The sequence below is a fragment of the Homo sapiens genome, chromosome 15 (genome assembly GCF_000001405.40).
Source record: "Homo sapiens chromosome 15, GRCh38.p14 Primary Assembly".
Classification (NCBI taxonomy): domain Eukaryota; kingdom Metazoa; phylum Chordata; class Mammalia; order Primates; family Hominidae; genus Homo; species Homo sapiens.
Window position 1 is genome coordinate 71627418 of NC_000015.10, and position 26682 is coordinate 71654099.

Genomic DNA, 26682 nt, shown 5'->3' on the forward strand with positions numbered 1-26682 from the left:
CTCAGAGAATCTGAGCTTGCACAAGCTCAGGCCGTACCACAACACCATTGGCTGTAAATGGCAGCCCCTTCACTAGATGAGAAGTAGGTTTAGCTTTTAGAAGGACACATGGGTATCAAATAACCAGTTACTTGCCTTCAGAGGAGTTTGACCAAGGTTATAGGGGTCCAGAAATCTCATATGAGGACCGCCTGTTGGATCTGAGCTGGAAATGACAGTAGGGGAAAAATATTTCTCTTCTTATAAATTAAGAATCCCCATGGAATGAGAATTACAGATTATTTTCAGGGTATTGTACAATAGGGCAGGGGAGAGGAAGATTTTGGTTCAGAGTAAGGAGAGATTTTTTCCAGTTGAGCTGTGAGTCATTTGTCACTGAAGAGTTTAATTATATGGTGGTTTCAAGCAGAGCATCTCCTGGGTCAAGGCAGAAATTTGGTTTTCACAATGAACAGGAACTTCATGTGGGGGTTACCAGCAGACTATGTTTTCAGGAAGACAAAGCTTTAGAAAGGTTCACATATGGACAACCTGATAAACGTTCGCTGGGCCCTTCCATATTCCAGCTAAGCATTCTCTTACCCTTAGGTAAGTGGCAGAGTTTGGGTGCCCCAGAGTCATGGGCACACAGTAGGATCACCTGGGAAACATTCAACAAGTTATCATGGCCAGGCCTGTGCCAGCCCAAGTCAGTCAGAGTCCTGTGGGTAAGGCCTGGGCATCGGTAGCTTTTCAAAGCCTTCAAAGTGATTCTAGGATACACTCAGGGTTGAAAAGGAGAGAGCTTTGAAAGGAGGGAGGATTCCATTGACAGAGGAGCAGAAGCCTTGGATCATCTTAATTTCATTAACAAGGGGGTAAAAAAGGAAAGGCTGAGAATGACACACAGCCTTACTTGAAACCTTCTTAACTGGATAGTTTTATGTTCACACTTCCTCATGTTTCATAGCAACCCTATGCATTATTTATTCTCATATTAAATATGAAGACACCAGAGATCAGAGAAATTAACTTATCCAAGGTGGCGCAGCAATCAAGGAGCAGAACGGGAATTTGAAGCAAGGTGCACCAGGTCTCAGCCCATTTGGCAGAGACCAGGGCTGCTCACCCTTTGGGACGCATACACGAGTCCCCTTGGGATCTGGTTAAAATGCAGATTCCTCTTCAGGAGGTTTAGGGTGAAGCCTGAGGTTCTGCATTTTTAACAACTCCCAGGCAATGTTGATGCTGTTAGTTTGCAGGTGACACTTTGCGTAACAAGGGTGTCAATACACTTTGAGAATCGAATCTTGATCTTGATGGAGACGTTCAAGAGTCTTTGATTACAGATGAATTTGGTGACTCTTCCCCAGGTGAGAAAACAGAAAATCCATGCAAGTTTGGGAAGCCCCCACCTTGACTCACAACTGCTGCTTGTCCTGCTGAGGCACCAGCCAGGCATCCCCGGGAAACAGGCAGAATGAGGCTGGCAGTGACAGAAATATGGTTGGTCATCCAGCCATCTAACTAATATTTATTGAGTGCCTATGGTGAGCTGGAGACTGTTCTAGACACTTGCGATGCGAAGATAAACAAGGCAGTTTTATAATCTAGTGGTGTGTGTCTAAAGCAAAACAGTTATCACGGGGTTTGGTTACGTTTGTAACTTACCAGACCCTTGAAACACCCTGACTTTTCTCACTCTGTCAGCCTCTACATCCAATCTGTCACCGGGTTGGCTCAATCTGAATAAACAATGTAGTGGAACGGCCAGAAAACTCATGGGGGCTCCCTCTGCATGAACAGCAGCATACTGAACTGGCAGTAGAGACCCGCACTGTCTGCCCAGTAAGGCTGAAGCTGGACAACTGACAGCCTTCAGGTCTCCCAGCCTTATCTCAATGTGGATTGCAACAAACTGGGCCTCATCTAGGGGGCAGGGCGGCCAGACAGTAGAGGAGACCCAAACCCTTTTGCATCAAGCACTGTTGAGAGACCTGGCAGTGTGGACCCTGCTTCAAGACAGAAGAGCCAGTGGGACCCTGAGGGCCTTTCCGCAGCTGCTGGGCCTCCGTGTTCCCTGTGTCTTTCAGGCCACACTCAGATATCACCCGCCCTAACTATCCCAGCTAAAGCGTCCTCCTCAGTCACTCTCCATCACATTTTCCATTTGTAGTTTCTTGAGAACTCAGCTCTAGAGGATGTGACACATAAAGAGATGCTCAGGCCCCCTGGTTGTTCTTTTGTGATGTTGGGTAGACTTGCGTCTTCTACCTCCCCACACCCCACTCCACATCCCATACCTACATTGTTGCCTCAGCCTCCCTGTAAGCTTCTCTTTGTTTATTTACCTCCCTTGCCCCCATCCCAAATCAAATCCATCCTATATGTAGCTGATAGCCCTGCTTTTCTATACTTTTTTCTCATTTGGGATGCGTGGTTTGCAACCTCAGCTCTCAGGAGCCTATTTCCTCGGGTTACTCTGGCTGTAAGGTAGTGATGGCTTGGCTCTGGAACCCTTGGAGGCGCCTTTGTACCCGCAAGCCACGTGGCCAGGCCCTTGTGTGCTCAGAGAGGGGCCTCTGTCTCTCTTGGCCGGCTTTGCTCCTCCTGTCTCTAGTTGGAATCTCTTGACATTTTCCACTTTCCAAGCATCAAACTTATGTCTTTGTAAGCTGGCTCTCAATCATGTTCTTTCTTTTTTAAAATTTGTTGCTATCTAACTACACTCTAAAGTCCCCCAGTAAAAAAAGAAAACAAACAGACAAAAAACAGAAAATTCTCCTTTAATCAATGCTTGCTGTCTTAACTGGTGCTTCAGACAAGCACTTCTTAGGCAAATGGATGACCACATGGCTATTCCAGGGAGGGGAAACGGGGATGCTAAATTGGCACAGAGCTCTGCTCTGTCTCGTCACGGCACTGCCTTTGATCTTTAATTTGAGCCATTCTAGGCAGGGCTCAGTATACTCTGAAAACACACTTTGTGATTAAAAAATGTGCAGTACATCAGCCAAAACATTTGTTTATATTTTACCCCCAATTTTGGGGTTTCTTGTCATGCTTTCCTCAAAAACTTTCTTTATATAATTAAAGAGGTGTGAGTGCTCTGAGCATGACTGTGCAATAGAATACAAAGCACAGTTCCCTTCTCTGAAGACAGAGAAAGGTTTTTCCCCATCTATTCAAGCATGAAGTCTGTAAGGATATGGCACAGCGACCTTCACTGCATTGTTTCTGGAATGGTAATGACAGTCTGGGCTGTCCAGGAAAGAGCGAGCTTCACAAAGACTAAGGCCCTTCCAGGAGGGTCTCTCCCAGCTCTGGGGATCCCCTCAGAGACACATGGGTGTTTGAATGCACCAGTGTGTGTCTCTGGTTCTGTGAGAGCAGGGTTTTTCAACAGCAGCACTATTCACATTTCAGACCAATAATTCTACAGTGCACAGGATGGCTCCTCACGGCAAAGGTTTCTCCACTCCAGCTCTATCCACATTTGGCCCTGAAGGTTCTTTGCGGTGGGGGCTGTCCTGTGCGTTGTAGGATGTTTAGCAATACCTGTGGCCTCTCCCCACCAGATGCCATCATGCTCTCCTCCCCAACCACCAACTGGACAATCAAAAACACCCGCAGACATTTCCCAGTGTCTCCTGGGGAGGGCAAGATCTCCCCGCAGTTGAGTACTCTGCATTGGATGGCTTGGAAAAGGATCCCCCTAGGTAAGAGGCACAGTCTGGGTGCCCCAGAGTCATGGGCACACAGTAGGATCACCTGGGAAACATTCAACAAGTTGTCATGGCCAGGCCTGTGCCAGCCCAAGTCATGCAGAGTCCTGTGGGTAAGGCCTGGGCATCAGTAGCTTTTCAAAGCCTTCAAAGTGATTCTAGGATACACTCAGGGTTGAAAAGGAGAGAGCTTTGAAAGGAGGGAGGATTTCATGACCTCCATTGACAGAGGAGCAGAGGCCTTGAATCATCTTAATTTCATTAACAAGAGGGTGAAAAAGGAAAGGCCGAGAATGACAAACACCCTCACTAAGTCTCTGTGTTTGCTCTTTTTGTCGTCTTTAGTGGTTAGTAGAACTCTTAAAATGAAGAAGGCCTGTGCTCTTTTCTTCTGGGGTAGCTGGAAGGGAAGAGCTGGGGAGATCAGGTAGCACCTCACAGCTAGGCTTGAAAGAGGAACCCTAAATGAGTAGGATGTATCTTAGAGATTTTGAAAAGGAAAAGTATGCTGAGTCTTTGAGGCCTCAGAGAAAGAGGCCGAAATAGCCCAGGAGGGCTTAGCCATCAGTCCTTGGCTACGCGGTTCCAGTCAACTGAGGGTAAGAAATTTGCTTCTGCAGTGTTGGCTGGGGTCTTGTGATGTCCCACCATTTTCCTCTAGGATACATGAGTCCCAGACCAAAAGGAGAAGAAAAACAATGGGTGCTGTAGTGTCAGGTGTCTCTGGGTTTCGGTTCAGGGAACTATCATTCCGTCCAATATCCCAAGCTACAAAACCTCCTGTAGCACGGAAATTAGGAGCATGGGCTTTGGAGTCACTACAGTTGTGTTTAGTTCTCAGCTTTGTGTCTTACTAGCCGAGATATCTTAAAGAACTAAGCTACTTGACCTGCCTGAGCCTCGGTTTTCCCATCTGTAAAATGGGAAATATAATAATCATACCTATCTTATAGAGCTGGCAGAAAAAGTGAATGAGATAATCCATGAAAAGCATTGAGTCCAGTGCTCACTAATTATTAACTACTATCATTAGTTCTTGTTATTTGGCCCAACATTCAAGAAGTCCTGTTTCCTTCTCTTCCTTGGAAATGTATTTTGAAAATCTGACCCCTTCTTCCCATCTCTGTTGGCGTTGCCTGAGTTCTGTACCACCAGTCACCCTTGGGGTTGAAAAGGAGAGACCTTTAAAGGAGGGATGATTCCGTGTCCCCTCCTGATGACTGTATGACCCCTCCTTGATCTGCCACCCAGTTGACCTCTCTCCAGGTGTTACCGGGTCATGTAACTCTTGATTCAAATTTCCAGGGATTGTTTGCAACCAACAGGCTGAAAGCCAAAAGCCCTATGGCCAGAACCTACTTCTTTGGCCACTCTGTGGTCCTCCAGCATGTTGGAATTGTTAGTTTGGGTTCCCATGACCAGAGAGTGTTGACTGGCTTTTCTTGCTTATGTTTTAAATGTCTGTATGTTTTCAAGTCACTCTAAGTGTTGGTGGAGTGAACTCCCCTAACCCACAGTTTATATGTCTTGGACTGAAGTGTTGCACATTTTTGTGTGTGATGTTTTAAATATAAAATTTTGTTTTCCCAGCAACTGCTGTAAGTGATTTGGAAACATTGCCTGGTCCTGATTAACTTCTTTTCTGCATCTCATTTAGGGTCTTGTTTATTTACATTAATAAGAAGACTACACAAACAGCTTACATGTGAAATTTTCTCTTGAGGACACAGAGGCTGACGATAAAGGCTAATTCGTGAGTGAGAGGAAGTTGAAATCTAAGTTCTTTCAGCTCTTGTCTGAGCCTATTGCTGTAACAAGTCTCCTAATCAACAGACCTTGTTAAAGGCAGTTATTTTATTACAGGCCTCCCAAGTTTGGCAGCTTACCCGACAGCTTGCCTTTTTTCAGGAGGCAGGACATCAAGGTGAGGCAAGAAAGAAAAGAGGACAAAAAGGAAGGCATTTAGGCAAGGCAAAGTTGGTCTCTTCAGGTTCTTGTTGTAAGTCAACCCCCATCTATTGTGTGTATAAATGATCAGCCCCACCTGTGAGAAAGATACCACAGAGGCTGAAGACAGGTCTAACTGGGGGAATATAGTGCCTTGAATCAAAAGCAGTATTTCTTCTTTTCTTTTTCTTTCTTTCTTTCTTTTTTTTTTTTTTTTTTTTTTTGGAGACAGGGTCTCACTCTGTTGCCCAGGCTGAAGTGCAGTGGCGCAATCATAGCTCACTGCAGCCTCGACCTACTGGGTTCAAGCCATCCTCCCATCTCAGCCTCCCCATTAGCTGAGACCACAGGCACATGCCGCCATGCTGGCTTATTTTTGTATTTTTCGTAGAGATGGAGTTTTGCCATGTTGCTTGGGCTGGTCTCGAACTTCTGGGCTCAAACGATCCACCTGCCTTGGCCTCCCAAAGCGTTGGGACTACAGGCATAAGCCACTGTGCCCTGCTGAAAGCAGTATTTCTTTTGAAGGGACAAATTTGGATTCCTTGAAACATACAGCTCAAATGGATATTTGTATAAATTATTAATATTTGTCTTTCAGTTCATTTAGTTTCCTGCTGGGTTATGATTATCAAAAATTGTAAACTTGTCTATTTCCCTCTGCTAGACTGGCAGTTAAATAACAGGAAAGTCAGAGTAGCAGAATGGATATGGGCATGGGATTTAACAACAGATAAGCCTGGTCTAGTCCAATGTCCACTGCTTACCAGACTCCCAGCTTGGTTTATGCCCTTCCACAAAAAACTAGCTCCATCATCTGTGAAATGAAAGAATCTGGCTGGGCACGGTGGCTCATGCCTGTAATCCCAGTACTTTGGGAGGCCAAGGCAGGCGGATCACCTGAGATCAGGAGTTCTAGATCAGCCTGGCCAACATGGTGAAACCCCATCTCTACTAAAAATACAAAAATTAGCAGGGCATGGCAGTGGACGCCTGTGATTCCAGCGACTTGGGACACTGAGGCAGGAGAATGGCTTGAACCCAGGAGGAGGAGGTTTCAGTGAGCCGAGATCGCACCATTGCACTCCAGCCTGGGCAACAAGAGTGAAACTCCGTCTCAAAAAAAAAAAAAAAAGAAAAAGAAAAAGAAATAATCCTAGTAGCCACCTCACTGGGTTGCTGTGAGGATTAGGTGGGATTGCATAAGTAAAGCAGTTAGCAGAGTACTTGGTATAGTCAACCCATGGCAGCCACTACAGTGACAGGGAGGATGGTTTTTTAAGTTCCTTGGGAACACCAGTCTTGTATCTGCATCACCAGCTTCTAGCTCAGTATCTGGGAATGAGAGTGTCGGAAATGAATACATGAAAGTCCCAGTCTTTGCCATCTTTAGAATGAGTATTTAGGTAAGCACAAGCACATCTGCGTCCCAATGCCATGTCCACTTTGGCTGCAGCTGGACAAGTAATATTCTTAAATCCCCATAAGATTTAGGAGAAGGGATCTTCCCCAGGGCATCAGTCACGCAGGGAATTTGAACAGAGAGCAGTGGCTGGGGGACTGTCTCATTGAGGGAATGGGTGGGAAGAACAAGGTAAAGAAAGGTCGGTCAGAAATGAGAGAGTAAGATCTCCTCGGAAGTCAAGGGAGGAAGTTCTCAAGGGAGATATGCTGCTCCACGGTGGCAGCAAGTTCAAAGAGAAGGTCATTCCATGTACGCCTTACGCATACCTATGTGGAGTCACTCATTTGGACACCCAGTCTTATTAGAGTTGCATCGTGCCATACATTCATTTTTCTCTATTTTGATTAGCAGCTATTGAAGAGCCTTTACCCACCATGACAAATGAATACTCCATCTTAATGGCTGTCAGCTGGGCTGTGGTTTGCTGCCATTGTTTGCCATTGTTTGCACACAAAAGCCTGATCCCATTAAGACCGTCAGATATTTCCTGCCATCGCATGGCCTCCTGCTCACAAACATTTGATGCTATTTAAAGCCTCTTCTCAGCAAATATGCATCGGTCACATGTATGCACTGCCCATTAATTAAGGCCAGATTTGAAGCTCTCACAGCTGTCACTTCTATTAACTGATTGCAGGGAATGTAGGACTTCATTTTTCTGGGAGATAATGTGAACATCGGAGAAAAGCCAAGAGATCTTCGAATCCCTGTGGCACTTACCTTGACTTCCAGGCTTGTAATGAAAAAGCTTCTTAGACAAAAAGGGACAAAAAGACCCTTTCACAGAAATCATAAACAATCTCTGCCAAGCAGGAGATTTAGTGGGTGGGAACACACACACACACACACACACACACTCTTTATTTGAGGCACCCTGGAAAATGAAAAGCTATCTGGGGAAAGTAATCATGTGAGAAGATGGCCTTGAAGATAGCAGCTTGATTTTCTTTGAAAGAAAAAAGTGGACCAATTTACAGTAGTGACTTTGCTAAAAGGCTGAAAAGAGTTGAGTGTATTTTCTCTTCAGTCTCTCTTTTTCTAAAGGAAACACGTCATGGATTGATTGGAAAACATGATCTTCTAGTTATCAAATGCTTTAATTAATGGCAAATCAAAAACATACCAGACAAAGGTTGCCAGTTATCAAAAAATCAAATACTAATTTTCTCCCAGCTGCATGATTGGGAGCAAGGGTGTGGAGCTGGAGGTGAGACTGGAAATAGTCACAATCATGATATTAATGGAATTAACGTTTATTGGGTGCCCACAACATGGCACTTTAAAAGAATGCATTTTCATAAATTATCTTATTTGACTCTTGAAAACTTAGATGTTATCATATGCCCATTTTATAGATGAGGAAACTGAGGCTTGGCAAGCTTAAGCAATTTTCCCAAGGTCACCCAGCTGGTAGATGGCAGGGTCAGGACTCAGATCTCAGTGAAGTCTGTCTGCCATGAAGTTCCTGTTCATAACCCTTTGTTATCCTGGTACAGTGGAAAGCACGTGGGCTTTGGAGACAGACTAGAGTTTCATCCAGATTCTGTCATGGGACCTTCAACAAATTGTTTACCTTCTCCTCAACTGAAGTAAAATGAGGAAAATAGACCAGGCGCAGTGGCTCACACCTATAATCCCAGAACTTTGGGAGGCCGAGGCGGGTGGATCACTTGGGGTCAGGCGTTGGAGACCAGTCTGACCAACATGGTGAAACCCCATCTCTACTAAAAATACAAAAAATTAGCTGGGCATGGTGGCAGGTGCCTGTAATCCCAGCAACTCGGGAGGCTGAGGCATGAGAATCGCTTGAACCTGGGAGGCAGAGGTTGCAGTGAGCCGAGATGGTGCCACTGCACTCCAGCCTGGGCAACAGAGCCAGACTCTGTCTCAAAAAAAAGAAAAAGGAAAAGAAAAATAATAGCTGCCTCATGGGCTACTACACAGATTCAATGAAATAAGGGTAAACAAAAATCAGAGATACTCAAAGTGTTAGTTTAGGGGTATTCTGCACCCCACCTCCCATTTCATTTCATTCCAGTTATTTCTTTCTCCTGTCACTGGACTGAAGCTCCCACCACCTTCCGCTATGTTGTTCCTGCATTCTCCACTTCCTCTTGGCTCTTTGTCTTGGGGACCAACACAGAGAAATCTTTTTTTGCCCAGTTCTTCCCAGCAGTGCCTGCAGCTGTGCCTTTGACAATCCTGACCCCAGCTGGTCCCCGAGGACCTCCCAGCCTCCCACCTCTCTCCTCAGACTCCCATGCCATGACTGAAAAACAGGAGGACCTGCGAGGCATGTGAGAAATCTACAGGCTTGACATCTGTGGGCCAGGCGCTCTCTCTCAATATTTTTTTCTTTTTTTTTTTTTGAGACAAGGTCTCACTCTGTCACCCAGGCTGGAGTGCAGTGGTGTGATCTCGGCTCACTACAGCCTCCACCTCCCGAGTTCAAGTGATTTCCCCACCTCAGCCTCCCAAGTAGCTGGGACTACAGGCACACGCCACCATACCCAGCTGATTTTTTTGTATTTTTGGTAGAGACGGGGTTTCACCATGTTGGCCAGGCTGGTCTTGAACTCCTGACCTCAAGTGATCCACCCGCCTCAGTCTGCCAAAGTGCTGGGAATACAGGCGTGAGCCACAGTGCCCAGCCTCAAGTCCAATTAACTATTTTTCACCGTTGTTTACAGAGCTTTAACTTCTCATTTGCTTTCAAAGCACCTGCATTTAGAATTTTAGATGATAACTAAGATGGTTTGCATTACAAATTCTTAAAACATTTGGCTTTCAGAAACCATCTTGGGCTGTATACATGGAGAAAATGCAGTCAAGCCCTGAAGCCCAGGGCTAGGAGACAGCAAAGGAAAGAAAAAAAGGGAAACATGGGGAGCCATGATCTCAGTGTCGTGGAAGGCAGTGGCAGAGAATAGCTCAAGAGATGAGGGATGAGAACTGAGAAGACCCCACGTGCAGGGAAAGTGAAGCTACTGGCATCCTCAGGGAAGAAATGCCAGTAACCTGGTGAGGGTAGCAGTCTATGGCAGAAGGTTAAAGGAACAATGATTATGTGGAAGTGGGACCAGCACTGTGGTTGCACTGTGGTCGCCAGGGGCTGGGGGAGGTGGCAATGGGGAGTTGTTGTTTCATGGGTACAGAGTAGAGGTGGATGGTAGAGTGATGGTTGCACATTATGAATTTTTTTTTTTTTTGAGACGGAGTTTAGCTCTTATTGTCCAGGCTGGAGTGCAATGGTGTGACCTCAGCTCAGTGCAACCTCTGCCTCCTGGGTTCAAGCAATTCTCCTGCCTCAGCCTCCCAAGTAGCTGGGATTACAGGCACCCGCCACCACACCTGGCTAAGTTTTTGTATTTTTAGTAGAGACGGAGTTTCACCATGTTGGCCAGGCTGGTCTCCAACTCCTGACCTCAGGTGATCCACCTGCCTCAGCCTCCCAAAGTGCTGGGATTACAGGTGTGAGCCGCTGTGCCCAGCCAAGAGTATATTTTAATACCACTGAACTATACCTTAAAAGGGGCTAAGATGGTAAATTTTATATTATGTTTATTTTACCACGTTTTTGTTTTAAAAAGTGCAGGAAGCATCAAGCTTGGAGCCACAGTGAAAGTCAAGAATGTCAGTGATTCCACATTTAATATCTACATTTTTGCAGGGCAGTTACTCTTTTGTAGTATAACATTGAGCTGATAGCACATAGTGTAGACAAGTGAATACAGGATTCTCTGGGTTATATTTCCAGAAGTCTGGAGGTCATTTGGATATTTGTGGGCCCTTGGCTTCACTCTGACTTGTGTGACACATAAAAATTGTGATGAAATGTCCTATAGATGTCCTGCAGGTCTTAAAAGAACCTTTCCAAACTATGAAACAGCCCAGCAGCACTGAGTTAGAGGTAAATTCTGAACCCTTGAACACTAAAACTATTCTAACTGCACATAGAATTGGCAAGTAGCATTCTATGTCTATGAACAGTATGTCTTTTCTATATAACAGAGAAAATCTTTTTAAGCAAACTACTCAGTTTAAAACCTAATTCTTCTCATAATCTCAGTACTTTTGAATGAAGACATATCAGTGCAACAGTACACTCTTATTCAGGCATTTGAAAGAAAGAATTCGAGATCTAGTTTGTATCAGATATTATAAATTAGTATGGTTTAGTCTTTGTCATGAAATTCTACTTAATTTTTGGACTATAGGTTTAAGAATGTAAGCAGAAGTTCTGCACCAATCAGAATAAGCTACATTATGCTTGAGTGACAACTACTGTAATGACAAAATATCAGTGGCTTAATACAATGGTTTTTCTCTCATACTTGTTCATAAAGAGTCAGCAAGGACCCTGCTCATTATGGTCCCTCAGGGACCCAGGTTGTTGGAAGCTCCACCATTTTAGATAGCTCCCTTCAAAGTCAGCCATCTTTGCAGTCATGTCCCCCAACAGCTGCAAAATTTGCTCTGATGCTCAAGAATTGAGCATCGGCAGTTAAATGCTTCAACATGAAAGTGACACCTGCCACTCCCACTCACATCCCATTGGCCAGAACTAGTCACATGGCCAGACCTAACTTCAGAAGGTTGGAGAATTGTAATCCTCCATGTACCCAAAAAGTAGAGAAGCCAGATACTGAGAAACATCAATAATGGCTAACAGAAATCCATTCTACCATTCCCTTTGCCTAAAGTGAAAAGATGAGTACTTTCATCAATTTGTAAACTGTACTTTTGAAGTAAATCCTGGTAGCTTGCATGGGGGCTGGATTTCCAGAAAGCCATATGTAATTTGGGAATGACATTCACTTAAGCTCATAGAATATCATTATTTGATGTAAAATGCCCCCATTTGCAATACAGGACCAAAATGCACTAACCACAAAATTCCACTCCACAAGGGTCTGGGTTCTAATTTCTTCATTCTTTAAATGAGGCATTCTATGATTTGGAATGGAAGCCCAGTTGTAGTCGTAAGAATTTTACTTAATTCAAGAATTATTCTCACTGAATATGTGCCAGTTCTGAAAGGAATGCAAAGTCAAATTTTGCATCTTCTTTGCTCAAGGGCCTTTAGATGTAACAACACAGACATGATACAAGGCTGACAATGACATTATGATTTAAATATGTTAAACAACTTATTAAATTGTGAATCAACAAAAAATTATGTTCTTTATTTTATGGTTTTGCATAGTCCTGACTCACTGCCTACATATCCCTCTTGTTCCTCAGCTCTTATCCCTGATTTCTTACAGGATGGCCTAAGACAGCTGTAGATGTTTTTATTTAGCAAAAAAAAAAAAAAGAAAAGAAAAGAAAAGCCAAGCCAGAAAAATATGTTACTCCTGTTAATGTTTTTTCCTTATTCAAAATAAAACTTACTTTAGCTTCATGAGAAATAATACATCTTACAATATATATTACTGACTTTTTTCAGTAAAGATAGGTCAAGAAAGAAATTGTACTGCTCATTAGCCACCAAAATACTAGTATTGGGGGCTTATTGGAAAAGTGGTAACAACGGCAACTTTTTTTTGCAACTTTCTTTTTCTTTTATTGGACAGTCTCACTCTGTCACCTAGGCTGGAGTGGAGTGGCATGATCATAGCTCACTGTAGCCTCGACCTCTTGGGCTCAAGCGATCCTCCTACCTCAGCCTCCCTAGTAGCTGGGACTACAGGTACACACTGCTATGCTCAGCTAATTTTTTTTTTTTGTAGAAATAGGGTTTCACCATGTTGCCCAGGGAGGTCCCAAACCTCTGGGCTCAAGCGATCCCCCAACCTCAGCCTCCCAAAGTGCTGGGACTATAGGTGTGAGCCACTGCACCTGGCCTAGGCAAATTTCTAATCCTAAATAGTGAAATTAGAGGGCCAACTGTGGCAAATCTAGGGGATAATTTATGGCAAGAGAGCCAGGGGGTTGCCAGGACTGGTCTCAAATTCTCCCGTATTGGATTAATTTCAGTGATGTAAGTTGAGGCCACTGACCCACATGACTCCTTCAGAACCGAGAGCAGGAAGGACAGCATGACATAGATAAAGTCCCAAGCCATGCTGATTATTGTTTAAAAACTTCAGGCTTTCCCCAAATTGCATGATATCTTAATCTTTGATTTCTTCTTATTTTAAGTGTAAAAATCCATCCCTTTATTTTATAAATCCTGATTTTGCCATGAAGCGGTCTCTGAACTCCTCAGCTGTTACTGCCCAGTTTATCCCTTAATTCCAATTCCACCTACCATGTGGTTCATCTCTTGTTTATCTCCCCAGCTAGATATTAAGCCCATTGAGAGCAGGGATGTAACATATGCCACTTTTGATTTCTCTAAAGGACCAGGTCAGTGCTAGGCACACGGTCGATGTTTAATTAATCCTTCATTAATATAACAAGTCACCTGATGATTTAGATCTTTCCTTCAAAACCCACCTACAGACACACACACACACACACACACACACACACACACTTACACACTCTGATCATTTAGTCTTTCCCTGAATGACTCCGGTGGTGAAGAGCTCACTTCCTCCCAAAACAGCCCTTCCATCTTCAGTCAACTGCTAATGTAATGAGCTAAGATTTACTGAGTGCCTACTATGTTCCAGGCATGGTGCTAAGCCCTTTACAGAGATTATAACATTAATCCTTACAGCAATCTTTTGAGGGAGGCATTCCCTAAGGCTTTGTTTCCCAATCACTACGTGGGATCAGTCCTTCTATACCATTCCTCTGTAAGCCCCAGTCCAATGTCTTGGGACCACAGATAGGAAATCTAATCTTTCTTCCAAGTGACGAAGTTTCCAATGTGGGGGCTATCTAGCAATGCCTGTCTTCTTTTCTTCTTGTTAAACCCCCCAGGTCTTTACACCATTGTTAACAACAATCACTGAGTCTCATTGAACACTCACTGTAGTCCAGGTACTGTGAGGAAGGCTTTCTTTTTGTGCTTTAAATTATTTTTTCCCATTTATGATTGACAGAAAGGTTATGCGTCTTGCCTGAGGTCACACAGCTAGTGTATGGCCAACAGAACTGCAATCCTGGAGGGGTGTGATTCCAAAGACAGAGTTTCTCATTACTGTTTGGCATCATTTCTACTTATGGTGATTTTCACTGTTTTAACAGTTTAGAATCCCTTATGTCACTTTCATAATAAAAGGGAGAAAAGGGCAAATACTTTGTCACAGAAAGAAGATTCATTAAAGGGATATTTTTAAGCCACTGTTTTCACAAGAAAACCAAATGCTAGAAAAGGTACAATGCTAAAAAGAAACTGTAAAAAAAAAAAATTGATACCTATACCACAGTAAAGTTATTCCAGGTAATTTAACTTTTGAGCTAGAAACCGAGGGTTCTCCTTGCATCAGGGTGCTCTCACCCTGTAGTCCTGAGAAGACGACCTGTTTTAGGCAAATACATAAAACCAAATGGAATATATTAGAAAGGAAGTGTCACAGACCAGTGTCCAAAGGTTTTTGGAGGGCAGAACGTGGAGCAATGGACCGTACACAGAGAGAAGAGGATTTATTACAAGTCAGGATCATTCAGGGATGAACTGGCTTCCTTAATGGGTGGAAGGCTGCCTGTCACCGGAGAAAGTCAAACAAAATCAGATAGACAGGGCTCTTGCAAGGACAGAAATGGCTTAGAAAGTTACCAGGCACCCAGGAGATCATCTGAAGGTGTGTTAAAAGTTAACATTAAGAGTCTAGGTTCTTTTAGAATGGCAATCATTAAAAAGTCTGGAAACAACAGGTGCTGGAGAGGATGCAGAGAAATAGGAACACTTTTACACTGTTGGTGGGACTGTAAACTAGTTCAACCATTGTGGAAGTCAGTGTGGCGATTCCTCAGGGATCTAGAACTAGAAATACCATTTGACCCAGCCATCCCATTACTGGGTATATACCCAAAGGACTATAAATCATGCTGCTATAAAGACACATGCACACGTATGTTTATTGTGGCTCTATTCACAATAGCAAAGACTTGGAACCAACCCAAATGTCCAACAATGATAGACTGGATTAAGAAAGTGTGGCACATATACACCATGGAATACTATGCAGCCGTAAAAAATGATGAGTTCACGTCCTTTGTAGGGACACGGATGAAGTTGGAAATCATCATTCTCAGTAAACTATCGCAAGAACAAAAAACCAAACACCGCATGTTCTCACTCATAGGTGGGAATTGAACAATGAGATCACATGGACACAGGAAGGGGAACATCACACTCTGGGGACTGTTGTGGGGTGGGGGGAGTGGGGAGGGATAGCATTAAGAGATATACCTAATGCTAAATGACGAGTTAATGGGTGCAGCACACCAGCATGGCACATGTATACATATGTAACTAACCTGCACATTGTGCACATGTGCCCTAAAACTTAAAGTATAATAATAATAAAAAAATAAAAAAGAGTCTAGGTTCTGGGACTGGAATGCCTGGGTTACATTCCTGCTCAACATCTTACTCATCTTAGACAATTTACTCAACTGCCTCAGTTTTCTCATCTCTAAAATTGAAATAATAGTATGACTTTCCTCTTGGGGTACTGGGAGGAGTCAGTGAGTTAATTTAAATAGTAAAACATTTTTAAAGTGCCCATGCATATGCTAAATCATCTGGTCCGGTGGTCCTAACACTTTTTCATGAAAATGATCTTGTTTCCAAAGAAAAGAGATATAAGTAATCCCAACACATAAAACAAATTTTTTAAAACCACTAATGTGTTTTGTTAGCATAAATTAATTTCTTTTTTGAGACAATTTTTAGGTTCAAGAGTACATGTGCAGGTTTGTTGTATAGGTAAACTCATGTCACAGGGGCTTGTTGTACAGATTGTTTCATCACCCCAGTACGAAGCCTAGTACCCAATAGTTATTTTTTCTGCTCCTCTCCTTTCTCCCACCCTCCATCCTCAAGTAGGCCCCAGTGTGTGTTGTTCCCCTCTATGTGTCCATGTGTTCTCATCATTTAGTTCCCACTTGTAAGTGAGAACATGTGGTGTTTGGTTTTCTGTTCCTGCATTAGTTTGCTAAGGTTGACGGCCTCCAGCTTCATCCATGTTCCTGCAAAGGACATGATCTTGTTCTTTAGTATAAATTAATTTCTAATTAAAACATTAACATCTAACTCTTATACAGGCATTTAGTGAACATGTGGCTATTTTGTCCATTAGAAAATTTAGCACAAGTAATATGGAAAATGATTTGGATGCCTTAGCGTTTACTTTATTTCTGAATTGTGTTTCAATTTACAACCTTTGAAGAGTTCTTAATTAACATAGGCAGGAAATTACAGACAGTCTCTTTGGTTGAATAAAAATGGGAGCAGTTTGTTCCAAAGGCTGCATAAAAATGAGTTAATGCAGAGATGTCTGGTGTGTTACACGTAGGCGTATACTGTGGTTGAGTATATATGATGTTTATCACAGTTCTTCACATTTTGAAAATATATCTTAAAGATTATGAAAATACTGAAGTAGAGCCTTGGAATAGCTTGAAAGCCACTGACCTGTCTCATTTAGCAGACATGATTTATAGGTTAAATTAGCCCCAGTGACTGTCCAAGGTCTCAACAGAAAACAGTAGGACTCAGGCTAACACCAGGGTCTAACTGATTGTGGTTAAACCAGATGATCTCTATGTTTTCTTCTGTTCTAAGAGTCTATGATTCTAGCATTCTATGTTTAGTGGGAATACTTGCCAATAAGCCTGATTTTCTATGATAAGCCTCTTCTTCCTTCAATTGGTTAGGCCATTTTGTTCTTCTCTATACTACAAATCTGTTACGAAATGAAATTTCAGAGCTATATTTTCTGAAAAGGATAAATGTCCTTTGCTCCAAATTCATTTTATTTTTATTCCTATCCACTTCAGTTTGTATAAAATACAGAATTCTAATCTTCACCAGCAAGAATTTGTGGTTTTTCCTAATACAAACTGGTAACTGTAAGCTCCAGATTTACAAAAAAAAATTCAAATTTGACTTTCACGGCCAGCTAGGTCAATACTCTATGCCACCTTTGTATTCTGTTCCTCTGACATTTTAGCTTTTATTTTTTAAAAACTGGTTCAATATGTTGCTGACTTTGAGTCACAGCAAGGAGGAAGATGGATATCTTCATCTATGCTGCTGACATGGTTTTCCAGCCATCCTAAGAAGTGAATAAATCACTTTTACTGGTTACTAATCTGAATGGCTTTGTATCAATCATGTCACCATTACCAACTTATTTGAGGCAGGGATTTCTCTAGTATTCAAGTAGACACTTCCAACAACTTCCTCTAGCAGTCCATTTCACCCCTCAGCTCAGGGGTAATGCCTTGGTTAGTTCATGGAATCCTTAGGCGGCAATAACGGTTCAAAATGAACATTATACTGCAGCTCCTAGTAAGTTATGGATTTATAGCCTGCCCCTGCTCAAGAGCTCCAGAAGTTCCTTCAGCTTAAAGGTAATAGGCTGTTTTTCTATCATTATTTAAAAACACAAGTCGAACAGTGATTTCCTTGCAGCCCTCAATCATATACAGAATACAGTCTCAAAGCTGGTACCTCAGGGCTCAAAATGGGGAGCCCCAGGGTCACTAGGGTGACTCAAACCCAGAGGAAAGATGGTCTTGGGGTGTATTAGCCTGTTTTCATGCTGCTATGAAGGCCTGCCCAAGATTCTGCAATTTATAAAGGAAAGAGGCTTAATTGACTCACAATTCCACAAGGCTGAGGAGGCCTCAGGAAACTTACAATTCTGGTAGAAGGGGAAGCAAACATGTCCTTCTTCACATGATGGCAGGAAGGAGAAGAATGAGAGCCGTGCAAAGAGGGAAGCCTCATATAAAGCCATCAGATCTCATGAGAACTTACCATCATGAGAATAGCATGGGGGAAACTGCCCCCATGATTTAATTACCTCCCACCAGGTTTCTCCCACCACACATGAGATTTGGGTGGGGACATAGCCAAACCATATCATGAGGAAATCCTGGCTTGTCATCGAAATCATACCATGGTTTTAGATTCCCTTTCTGATAATCGAAGAACATTCTGGAGGCCTGAGGCAGAGTGAGCCACCAGAAGAAATAGGAGCTGTCCAAAATAATTTAAAGTCCCAGGCCCTTGGGTTTGCTTTGGGGAAAAAAGCTTTTATCACAGCCTTTTGGTGCAACAGAAAACAAAATGTTTGGGAGAGGTTTTAGTACCAGCACTTCAGGCAGTGCATGTAGGCAATGGATAAGAGAGAACTCAAAGCTTCTGGGAAATTGGAGGTGTCCCATGTTTATAAAGGGGAAATTCAAGATGCAATTAAGACGACTCCTTTCCAAGAAATACCAGGACAAAGCAAGTACTCCAAAGCCACCCAGTGCCACTTTCCCTCATCCCTCCACCTGTCCAACACGTGCACCTTTCAGTGGGTGCTCTGCACTTGCTGGCATCTGCTATTCACTACCATATTCCCTGTTTCAATCACTCCATTAATCTCCTTGCCTTTGTGGCTTCCACCTTAAAACTCTGCTTTTGAGTTTTTGAACTAGATAGATACGAGCACAGATCCTAGCACTTGGCTGTGTGACCTCAGGCAAGTTACTTAATCTCCCTCTTTCCTCCATTATTAAAATGGTAGTAAATACATTCATCCTATCAGATAAGCAACAAATACCAGTTTCTTTTCTTTATATTGCTTTTCTTGGTGCTCAGGAGCACCTCTGCACACCTCTCTGAATAGAGGGAGCACACTTTTCTTATGGAACCTAAAGTCACCAGAGTCCATAAGTTGTCAAAATGGAATCCTTGATTCTTTTTGACTTTGGCTCTTTCTCTCTTTTAACCAGAGTTTGTTCTCTGCTGGAGAAATGCTTTTCATTTTACTTCCATATTTGCTGCCGTTTCACATTTTTAAAAGTATATTCAGGCCATTCTCTAGCTAAATAACATTCCAATCAGCTACTGTTTAAGCTGGGAATTGATATCATTTATTTGTGTTTCTTTGAATTTGCCCTCTATGTTATCTTTAACTTGACTTTAAATAAAACATAATATGCATTGAGTTCCTTCCATGTGTCAGATGCTTTTTACAAACATAAACTGGCTTCATCATCATAAAACCAACCCAGTAAATTAGGAGATATAATTAATAAATAGTGTCACTAATTATTACGTATTTTCACTTTATGACAGCAAAGTATTTTTGCTGTCAAAGCATAAGGACACTGGATCATTGTCAAAATCCCTACCTTCACTCAGTTGTCCACACCTGGGTTAAGGCTTATTCTTGAGCGGCTGCAGCCCTGGGCACTCCCTTCCACCTGGAATCAGAGAATCACATATAGGCATAATGCCTAGGAGGAAGTAATCAGCTCGTTTAAGTGATGGCTGACATCAGGAGGCCTTTTGAGCCAGAAGAATGACATGATGATAGCTGTGTCTTTGGAAGATAAATGTCACAACCACGTGCAGTATAGATTACCTGAAACCACAACATTTAGCCTTTATGCTTACACATCTGGGGGGCATGATTTAAAAGCTCATAAATACAATCTGGATTTTAAAGAAGGGACTGGTGAAAATTAAGAATTTCAAGGTTCTACCAAAGAAGGTGAAGGATCGGTGTTTTTCCAACTGGTTTATGTGTCCTAAATATTTATGTATACAAGTGCATATTGTTAGTGCAGTCTCTTGGAAGCCATGTGTGGGCAGCAGATCTGCTATTGCCCTACCTTTCAGTTTAAAGTTGCAAGAGAACGGAAATTCTCTGCCAGCATGAGAATCATTCATCTGGCAGCCACCTGAATTACTGTTAAGCAACACATTGAGTTTGACAGATAACCCTGTTCTTAGCCATCCTTCAAGAAAAGCATGAAGGAGCCTTCATGTTTAAACATTTCAGCCAAATTTCTTCCTTCTGACAATGCATGGAACACAATGTCTTTATTTCCTAATGAAATATTCATATTGGATGTATCTATGGTTAGAAGAGAGAATAATAAGGAATTATCTTTATTTAATTTCTTAGTCATTCTGGTCTCAGAGAGCAAGCTCTCGGGTTGGGTAATGACGTCGCCCAAGGAACCTGATGTTTTTCATTGAGTTATAAATATCTCTCAACTTGGCAAACCAATAGTTCCCATTCCCAGGATGACAAATGAGAAAAATCGTTACTATTTCAGTGGATAGTTTTGGATCTAGGAATTTGTTGTGAGAGGAAGGGTGGTGTTATAGATGTCCCTTCATGGGGGGTAAATCAGCACAATATGGGACTTCAGAGGACTTCAATATGGGATTGCAAGGGAATCAAGAGACGCTATAGGAGATGCTGAAGCAGTGTGGCCAGGCCTCGTGGGAGGGGAGGCCTCGGATTGGGAGTAAAGCCTGTGTGTAAGCATGTTGGGGAAAGCCCGAGAGCAGCCTGAGAGATATAAGCGTATAGGTGGCCCTTGGTCAGTCATCTACCAGGCCCTGTTCTTACAAGAAGGGTTTCTGTTGTCCCAAGAGACAATACAACTAGCAGAGGAAAAAGATCCTAGACTTCGGGGCCAGAAGGCACTTATTTCAAACCCGCCACCATCACTTCTGTGTGAGCTTTGACCTATTACTTACCTTCTCAGAGCTTTGGCAAAATAGGGATAGTAATTCTTACCTCCTGGTGTTGTTGAGAGAATTAGGCAGGATAACATATTAGGTAAGGTGCCAAGCACATGGTGAGTGGTCCAGCCGTAACAGCTGTCACATATATCCATGGGGCTTCCTACTGCCTAAATCCCTACCAGATGCTTGAATGCCCTGATTGCATCTGTTTTCCACCTACAACTCATCTAAGACCATGACCCTACATGCCCAACCCATAGGCTCCATCCAGCAGTCTCCCTTGCTCTGTTTCTAAAATGAAAATAATCCCTTTCCAGTTTTTTAGGCTTTCCATAGCTGGTCTCCAAGACAAACCGGGAAAGACTACCAAAAGAAAGCATTTTCTTTAAGTTTTTTGTTGTTGTTGTTAATGAGAAAAGTTACAAAGATAAAAGAAATCTCTGGAAGCCTTGATCACCATTGTCCCAGAGCATTATTGAAATGCAAATAGATTGTGACAGTTTACCTGTTACAGCTCTGTCTTCAAACACCACTTGAGAATCATGTGAAAAGAAAGGGGGGTTTTGGTGGACAGTGCAAATACACAAGCCTCCCCTGTTGGTAGAGAAGTATATGTAGCTTGTGTGAAAAAGGGGATCCCATGGCCAGACTGCCAAGGGACGCGTCTCGAGGAGAAGGAGAGGCACAACATTTTACCAGCCCCTACTTCATGCCAGTTCTGAATTAGGTACCTTCATTTACACATTTCATTTAAGCCTCACAAGAGATTTGTGAATTATACTTTGATCCCTCATTTTACAGGTAACAAAACTAGGGCTCAGAAAATGATGTCACCTGCGGGTGTAATGTGCATTATTAGGAAGGCTCTTAGGTGAACATTCATGTGTCTAGAAGAAAAGACGTTTTGAACATATGGAACGTAGAAAAGAAATTTTTGTTAAATTCTTTAAATCCCAGCAAGTGCACTTCAGATTCAAAGTCCTTAGGAGTCCCCCCATCACTCAGAGCTTCTCTTTGGCTCTTCTCCACCATCTCCTAGTTTCTCCTCTCCCTTTCCTCTCTGTCCCTTTCCTCTCTCTCCAGCACTGGAAGCAAAACTAGGCTTTTCTATTTAGCCAGATCTCAGGGCTTTTTTGTTTGTTTTTTGTTTTTTTGAGACAGAGTTTCATTCTTGTTGCCCAGGCTGGAGTGCAGTGGTGTGATCTCAACTCACTGCAATCTCTGCCTCCTGGGGTCAAGCCATTCTCCTGCCTCCAGCCTCTCGAGTAGCTGGGATTACAGGTGCCCACCAACATGCCTGGCTAATTTTTGTATTTTTTTAGTAGAGATGGGGTTTCACCATGTTGGCCAGGCTGGTCTTGAACTCCTGACCTCAGGTGATCTGCCTACCTCAGCCTCCCAAATTGCTAGGATTACAGGCATGAGCCGTGCACCAGCCTGATAGCTTCTTTTGCTATGCAGAAGCTCTTAAGTGGATCCCATTTGCCAATTTTTGCTTTTGTTTTGATTGCTTTTGGCATCTTTGTCATGAAATCTTTGCCAGTTCCTATGTCCAGAATGGTGTTACATAGGTTGTCTTCCAGGGTTTTGGCAGTTTGGGGTTTTACATTTAAGTCTTTAATCCATCTTGAGTTGATTTTTTATATGGTATAAGGAAGGAGTTCAGTTTCAATCTTTGCATATGGCTAGCCAGTTATGGCAGCAACATTTATTGACTAGGGAGTTCTTTCAGTTCTGTGATAGTTCATTTGCTCTTCAACCATTTCCTGGTGAAAACAGCCAATAAGGAAGTCAGAAAAGGACTGCCAGCTGCAAGAAGTGACTTCTGACATCCAGAGGAGGGACGGCAGAGACCTTCTGGTAGTTGGAACTACTTAATATAGAGGGTGGCAATCTCTCACACCTCAGAATGTCTCTGAGTCATCTAGAGCAAGAGTCAGCAAGTTATAGCCCATGGGCCAAATCTAGCAAGTAAACCAAATCTAGCATGTGAGCCTAATCCACCTGCCGTCTGTTTGTGTAAATAAAGTTTTATTAGAACATAGCCATAAGTCATCCATGGCTGTTCTCACGCTGCAACAATCCAGCAGAGTGGCTGCAACAGAGACCATATGACTGCAATGCCTGAGGTATTTACTCTCTGGCTCTTTACAAAAGAAGCTTGCTGACCCACAATGTAGAGCAGCACCTTTCAAACCTGAATGTGCATAGGAATCACCTGAGAATGCTGTTAAACTGCAGATTCTGATTCAGTAGCCCTGGGAAGCGGTGCAAGACTTCTAAAATGCCCCAGACGATGCCTGCACTGCTGGTCCATGGACCACACTTTGAGTAACAGGGGGCCAGAGAAAATAAACTAAGGCTTATTGTAAGATTCTCCCCGGGGGCCTGAAAGCTTAAGGAGATGAATAACTCCTCCCTTCTCAGGCCCAGTCCCAAGGCACAAGGCTACTTGCACCAGCAGTGTGCTCCAGCAAAATAGCAGAAGCAGGAAGAGAGCCAGCCGGAAGACACGTACCCCTGAAAATCAAGAAAGAGGCCATCCGGGTACAACATAGCAGTAATGTCAGACTAGGACACTTCCTGTTTACAGGAGACTATAAAACTTTCGCCCTGTCCTCACTTGGGGCTGACGCCATTTTAGGCCTCAGCCCGCCTGCACCCTGGTGCTCATTAAAACAGCATGTTGCTCCACACCGCCTCCTGTTGTCTGTTGGCACGCTCTCAGGGTTCGAACCAGTACAAGAACCTTACACTTACTAGTCTTGATTTTTTTAAAAACTGAGAATTATAAAATATACTTTAGAAGGATTCCTATCCAAAAAGCTAAAATAAAAATGCATAGGGTTTTAGAGGAAAATTCTGATGAAAGAATGGGAGAGAGAGAATTATTATAACTAAATTCGATGAATGAATTAATGAGTATCAAGATCTATGCTCAGACCCTTGCTGTAAGATGGCTCCATCAAAGGCCTGCCCCCCAGTGGAGTTTCTGCCTCAAGAACACTAGTATTCTTTCAGGTTGTCAGGCCAGGAACCTTGGTCTTCCTTACTCCACCTTTGGTAGAACATCCATCTTCAGTCCAGTTGGCCATTCCTTCAGCGTGATGTTGGTGGGCCCTTGCCCTCCATTCTAATTTCATCTCTCTGGTCCAGGCCTCCATCACTTTGTGCCCATCTTAATGCAGTTGTCTGTGTGTGTCCCAGTCTCCAGTCTCTTCCATCTCCAGTCCATTGCCCGTGTTTGCCAGACATCTTCTGAAAAGAGCTCTTCAGCCTGCCATTTCCCACTCAAGAGTCTTCGGATTTAAGATCCCACACTTTCGTTGCCAGCCTTTTCTCTCATCATCTCGTCCCACTCACCCAGTCAGTCCTCTCAGCCGTCCCTGGAGATGGCCCAATGATAGCTAAGAAGCCTATATATTCCCCAATGTTGTAACTCATTTACACAGATTTTAAAGCATTTTTCTTGAACATTTTGGAAATACAAGATTTGAATATTTCACCCACCTTTTTTTTTTTGATGTTCCAAAAAAATTTTAAGAAATGAAATCATGCCTTAACAACATGGCAGAAACTTGCACATAAGAGCACAGTAAATATGCAGTCAGCCTGCATCTCTGGGTCCACCCTTCTTGTGTTTCTCAACAGTCATTGTTTTTGTTAATGTTGGATCACTGCTTCTTGTACTTAAACTAGTTGTTTAGGTAAGTACCCTCTTGCAAAGGCTTAGAGGTGCCATCTTGTGGAGAAAAATGCAAACAGGCACATTTGGCTGTGTGTTAAGGAAATGACAAAGATGCCGGCGTGAATCTCCATCATTGCCTTCTGGCCATGGGGACGGTCCCGTGAGAGCCTTCTGGGGACCTGCATTGGTAGACACAGGCCATCTGCGCTCAGGAGGCCCTGTAAATCAGGCCAGTGTGCAAGCAACCTCCATCCTGGATCAGAGTTCATCAACCCAACTCACTATTGCCTTTTTGCTGATAATCTAGCCTCCAGAACTCTGCCTTATAGGGTGTAGGCAGTGTCTCTCTGCTCCATTCTGCAAGGAACTTCCTAGTCTTGACCCCTTATCAGCCCCAAACCACAGCTTCTAACAGACCCATCCCACGTGGTTTTTTCCTGCTGCCAGCCCCTCCTGAGACACTAAAAAATTACAATAAAATCTGGCCAGACATATTATGATCTCTTTAAACACAATTCACCATACGGCTCTACACATTAAAAGTAAAGTGAAAGTCTAGAGGTTTCTAGTATTCTATACAAAAATATGGTTACCTTACTTTTATAATAGAGCAATTATCACTGTCAAAAGCTATTTCAGGCCTCTCTCCTCCTTCCCCCATTTCAATCCATGGAGGAGGAAAATTATGAAAGTAAAGCATTAGAATTTTAGAGTTTGGGATATCCCCACCCTCCAGAGAACGATGACCCTTGTTGGAATTGGGGGAGGTGGTAATTATCTTACAGAATATGATATGTTTACCTCTCGGGACTCCTTTCTTCAGATTTGTAAACATAGCTGCAGTTGATTCTTACCCAGTTTTATCCTACAAGAGCGCCAACATTTTCTTCCAGTTGAGTCCCTTGATAAGATGCTATCCTATTATGAACTAGGATGAGGTACTGAAAAGTGACAGCCATAAGCTTGATTAAAACCAGATCGCTCGTTTTACAATTGCTTTCATTTAGGAAGCCAAAATACCTTTTATGCCATGGACCATTTCTTCTCTTCAAATGAATGGCATCGTCAATTTGATCTTCATTGATTCCTGTTTCCAATTTAATTTTGTGTATATACAGCAAATTTCCCTCCCTTTAAACATGGCAGGATTCTTCATATCAGGGCTGTATCTCTTTTTAAAAGAAAAATTTTGGCACCAGAAGGGACCTTAGAGATGAGCCAGTTCGAAGAGCAGGTTGGTCCTGTAACTTTGATCTTTTGATTCTTCAACCAGCTGCTCTTTCATTCAACAAACGCTTATTAAACACCTACCAAGTCGCAGGTACTGTGCTCTTTGCAATACATAATGATACTCCTGCTGAAGCTAAGCCAAGAGGCAATCTTAAAGAACTCGAGAAGGTTTGATAGCAGTAAGGAACTATTTTTGGAAACTGGATAATTAAGTGTTCTTTGCTTATTAGCTTCTCTGACATTTACAAAGGCTGTTTGTGCACTTCTGTGGAACTACCATCATTTTAAAGCTTTCTGGGGAATCTGTCATGTGCTCCTCGGTGTCCCATGAGCTTTGGAATAAAGAGCAGTGATTCTCAACTGAGGGTGATTTTGCTCCCATGGGGAACATTTGGCAATGTCTGGAGACATTTTTGTTTGTCACACTGAGAGGGATGCTCCTGGCATCTGGTGGGTAGAAGCCAAGGATGCTGCTAAACATCCTACAATGCATAAGGCAACCCCCATAAGAAAGACCTTTCAGGACCAAAACATCAGTAGAGCTGGAGTTGAGAAGCCCTCACCTTGAGGAAGAAGAGCAGGCAGGAGGATGAGAAGCTAGGTTTCTAAACCCTGACAGTCCTTCAACCAAAGCAGTTCTGCTCTTCTCATTTTGCATAGTGGAGCTTTGGATTTCCACATGAGATTTTATTTTTGAAGTATATTTTTTTCTACTTAAAAAAGTTGAAGACTACTGTGGTAGAAGACAACTCTCTGCCTTCTGTTTTACAATTGAGTCACTTTGGAACAAATCAAGTGGGTGTATATGATACAGGATGAGGGCAGTCAGGGGTAGATTTGGAAGCATCTACCTGAGCCTTGGTTTTGGCTGCACAGGACTCGACATTTACAAACAATATTGAAGTGATTTGATTGTGTCTGACTTTCAATTTAGACCAGGGATTGGCAATTTTTTTCTGTAAAGGGCCAGATCTAAATATTTTAGGCTTTGTCGACTTTCCTGTTTGTGTTGCAACTACTTAATCTGCTGTTGCAGCACAAAAGC

At 42.9% G+C, this 26682-nt stretch overlaps 1 protein-coding gene across 10 annotated transcripts in view; it reads left to right on the plus strand.

Annotated features, from left to right (window-relative positions):
* THSD4 (thrombospondin type 1 domain containing 4) overlaps positions 1-26682 on the plus strand; it is a 686490-nt gene that overhangs the window by 530524 nt on the left and 129284 nt on the right. The window lies entirely within an intron of this gene.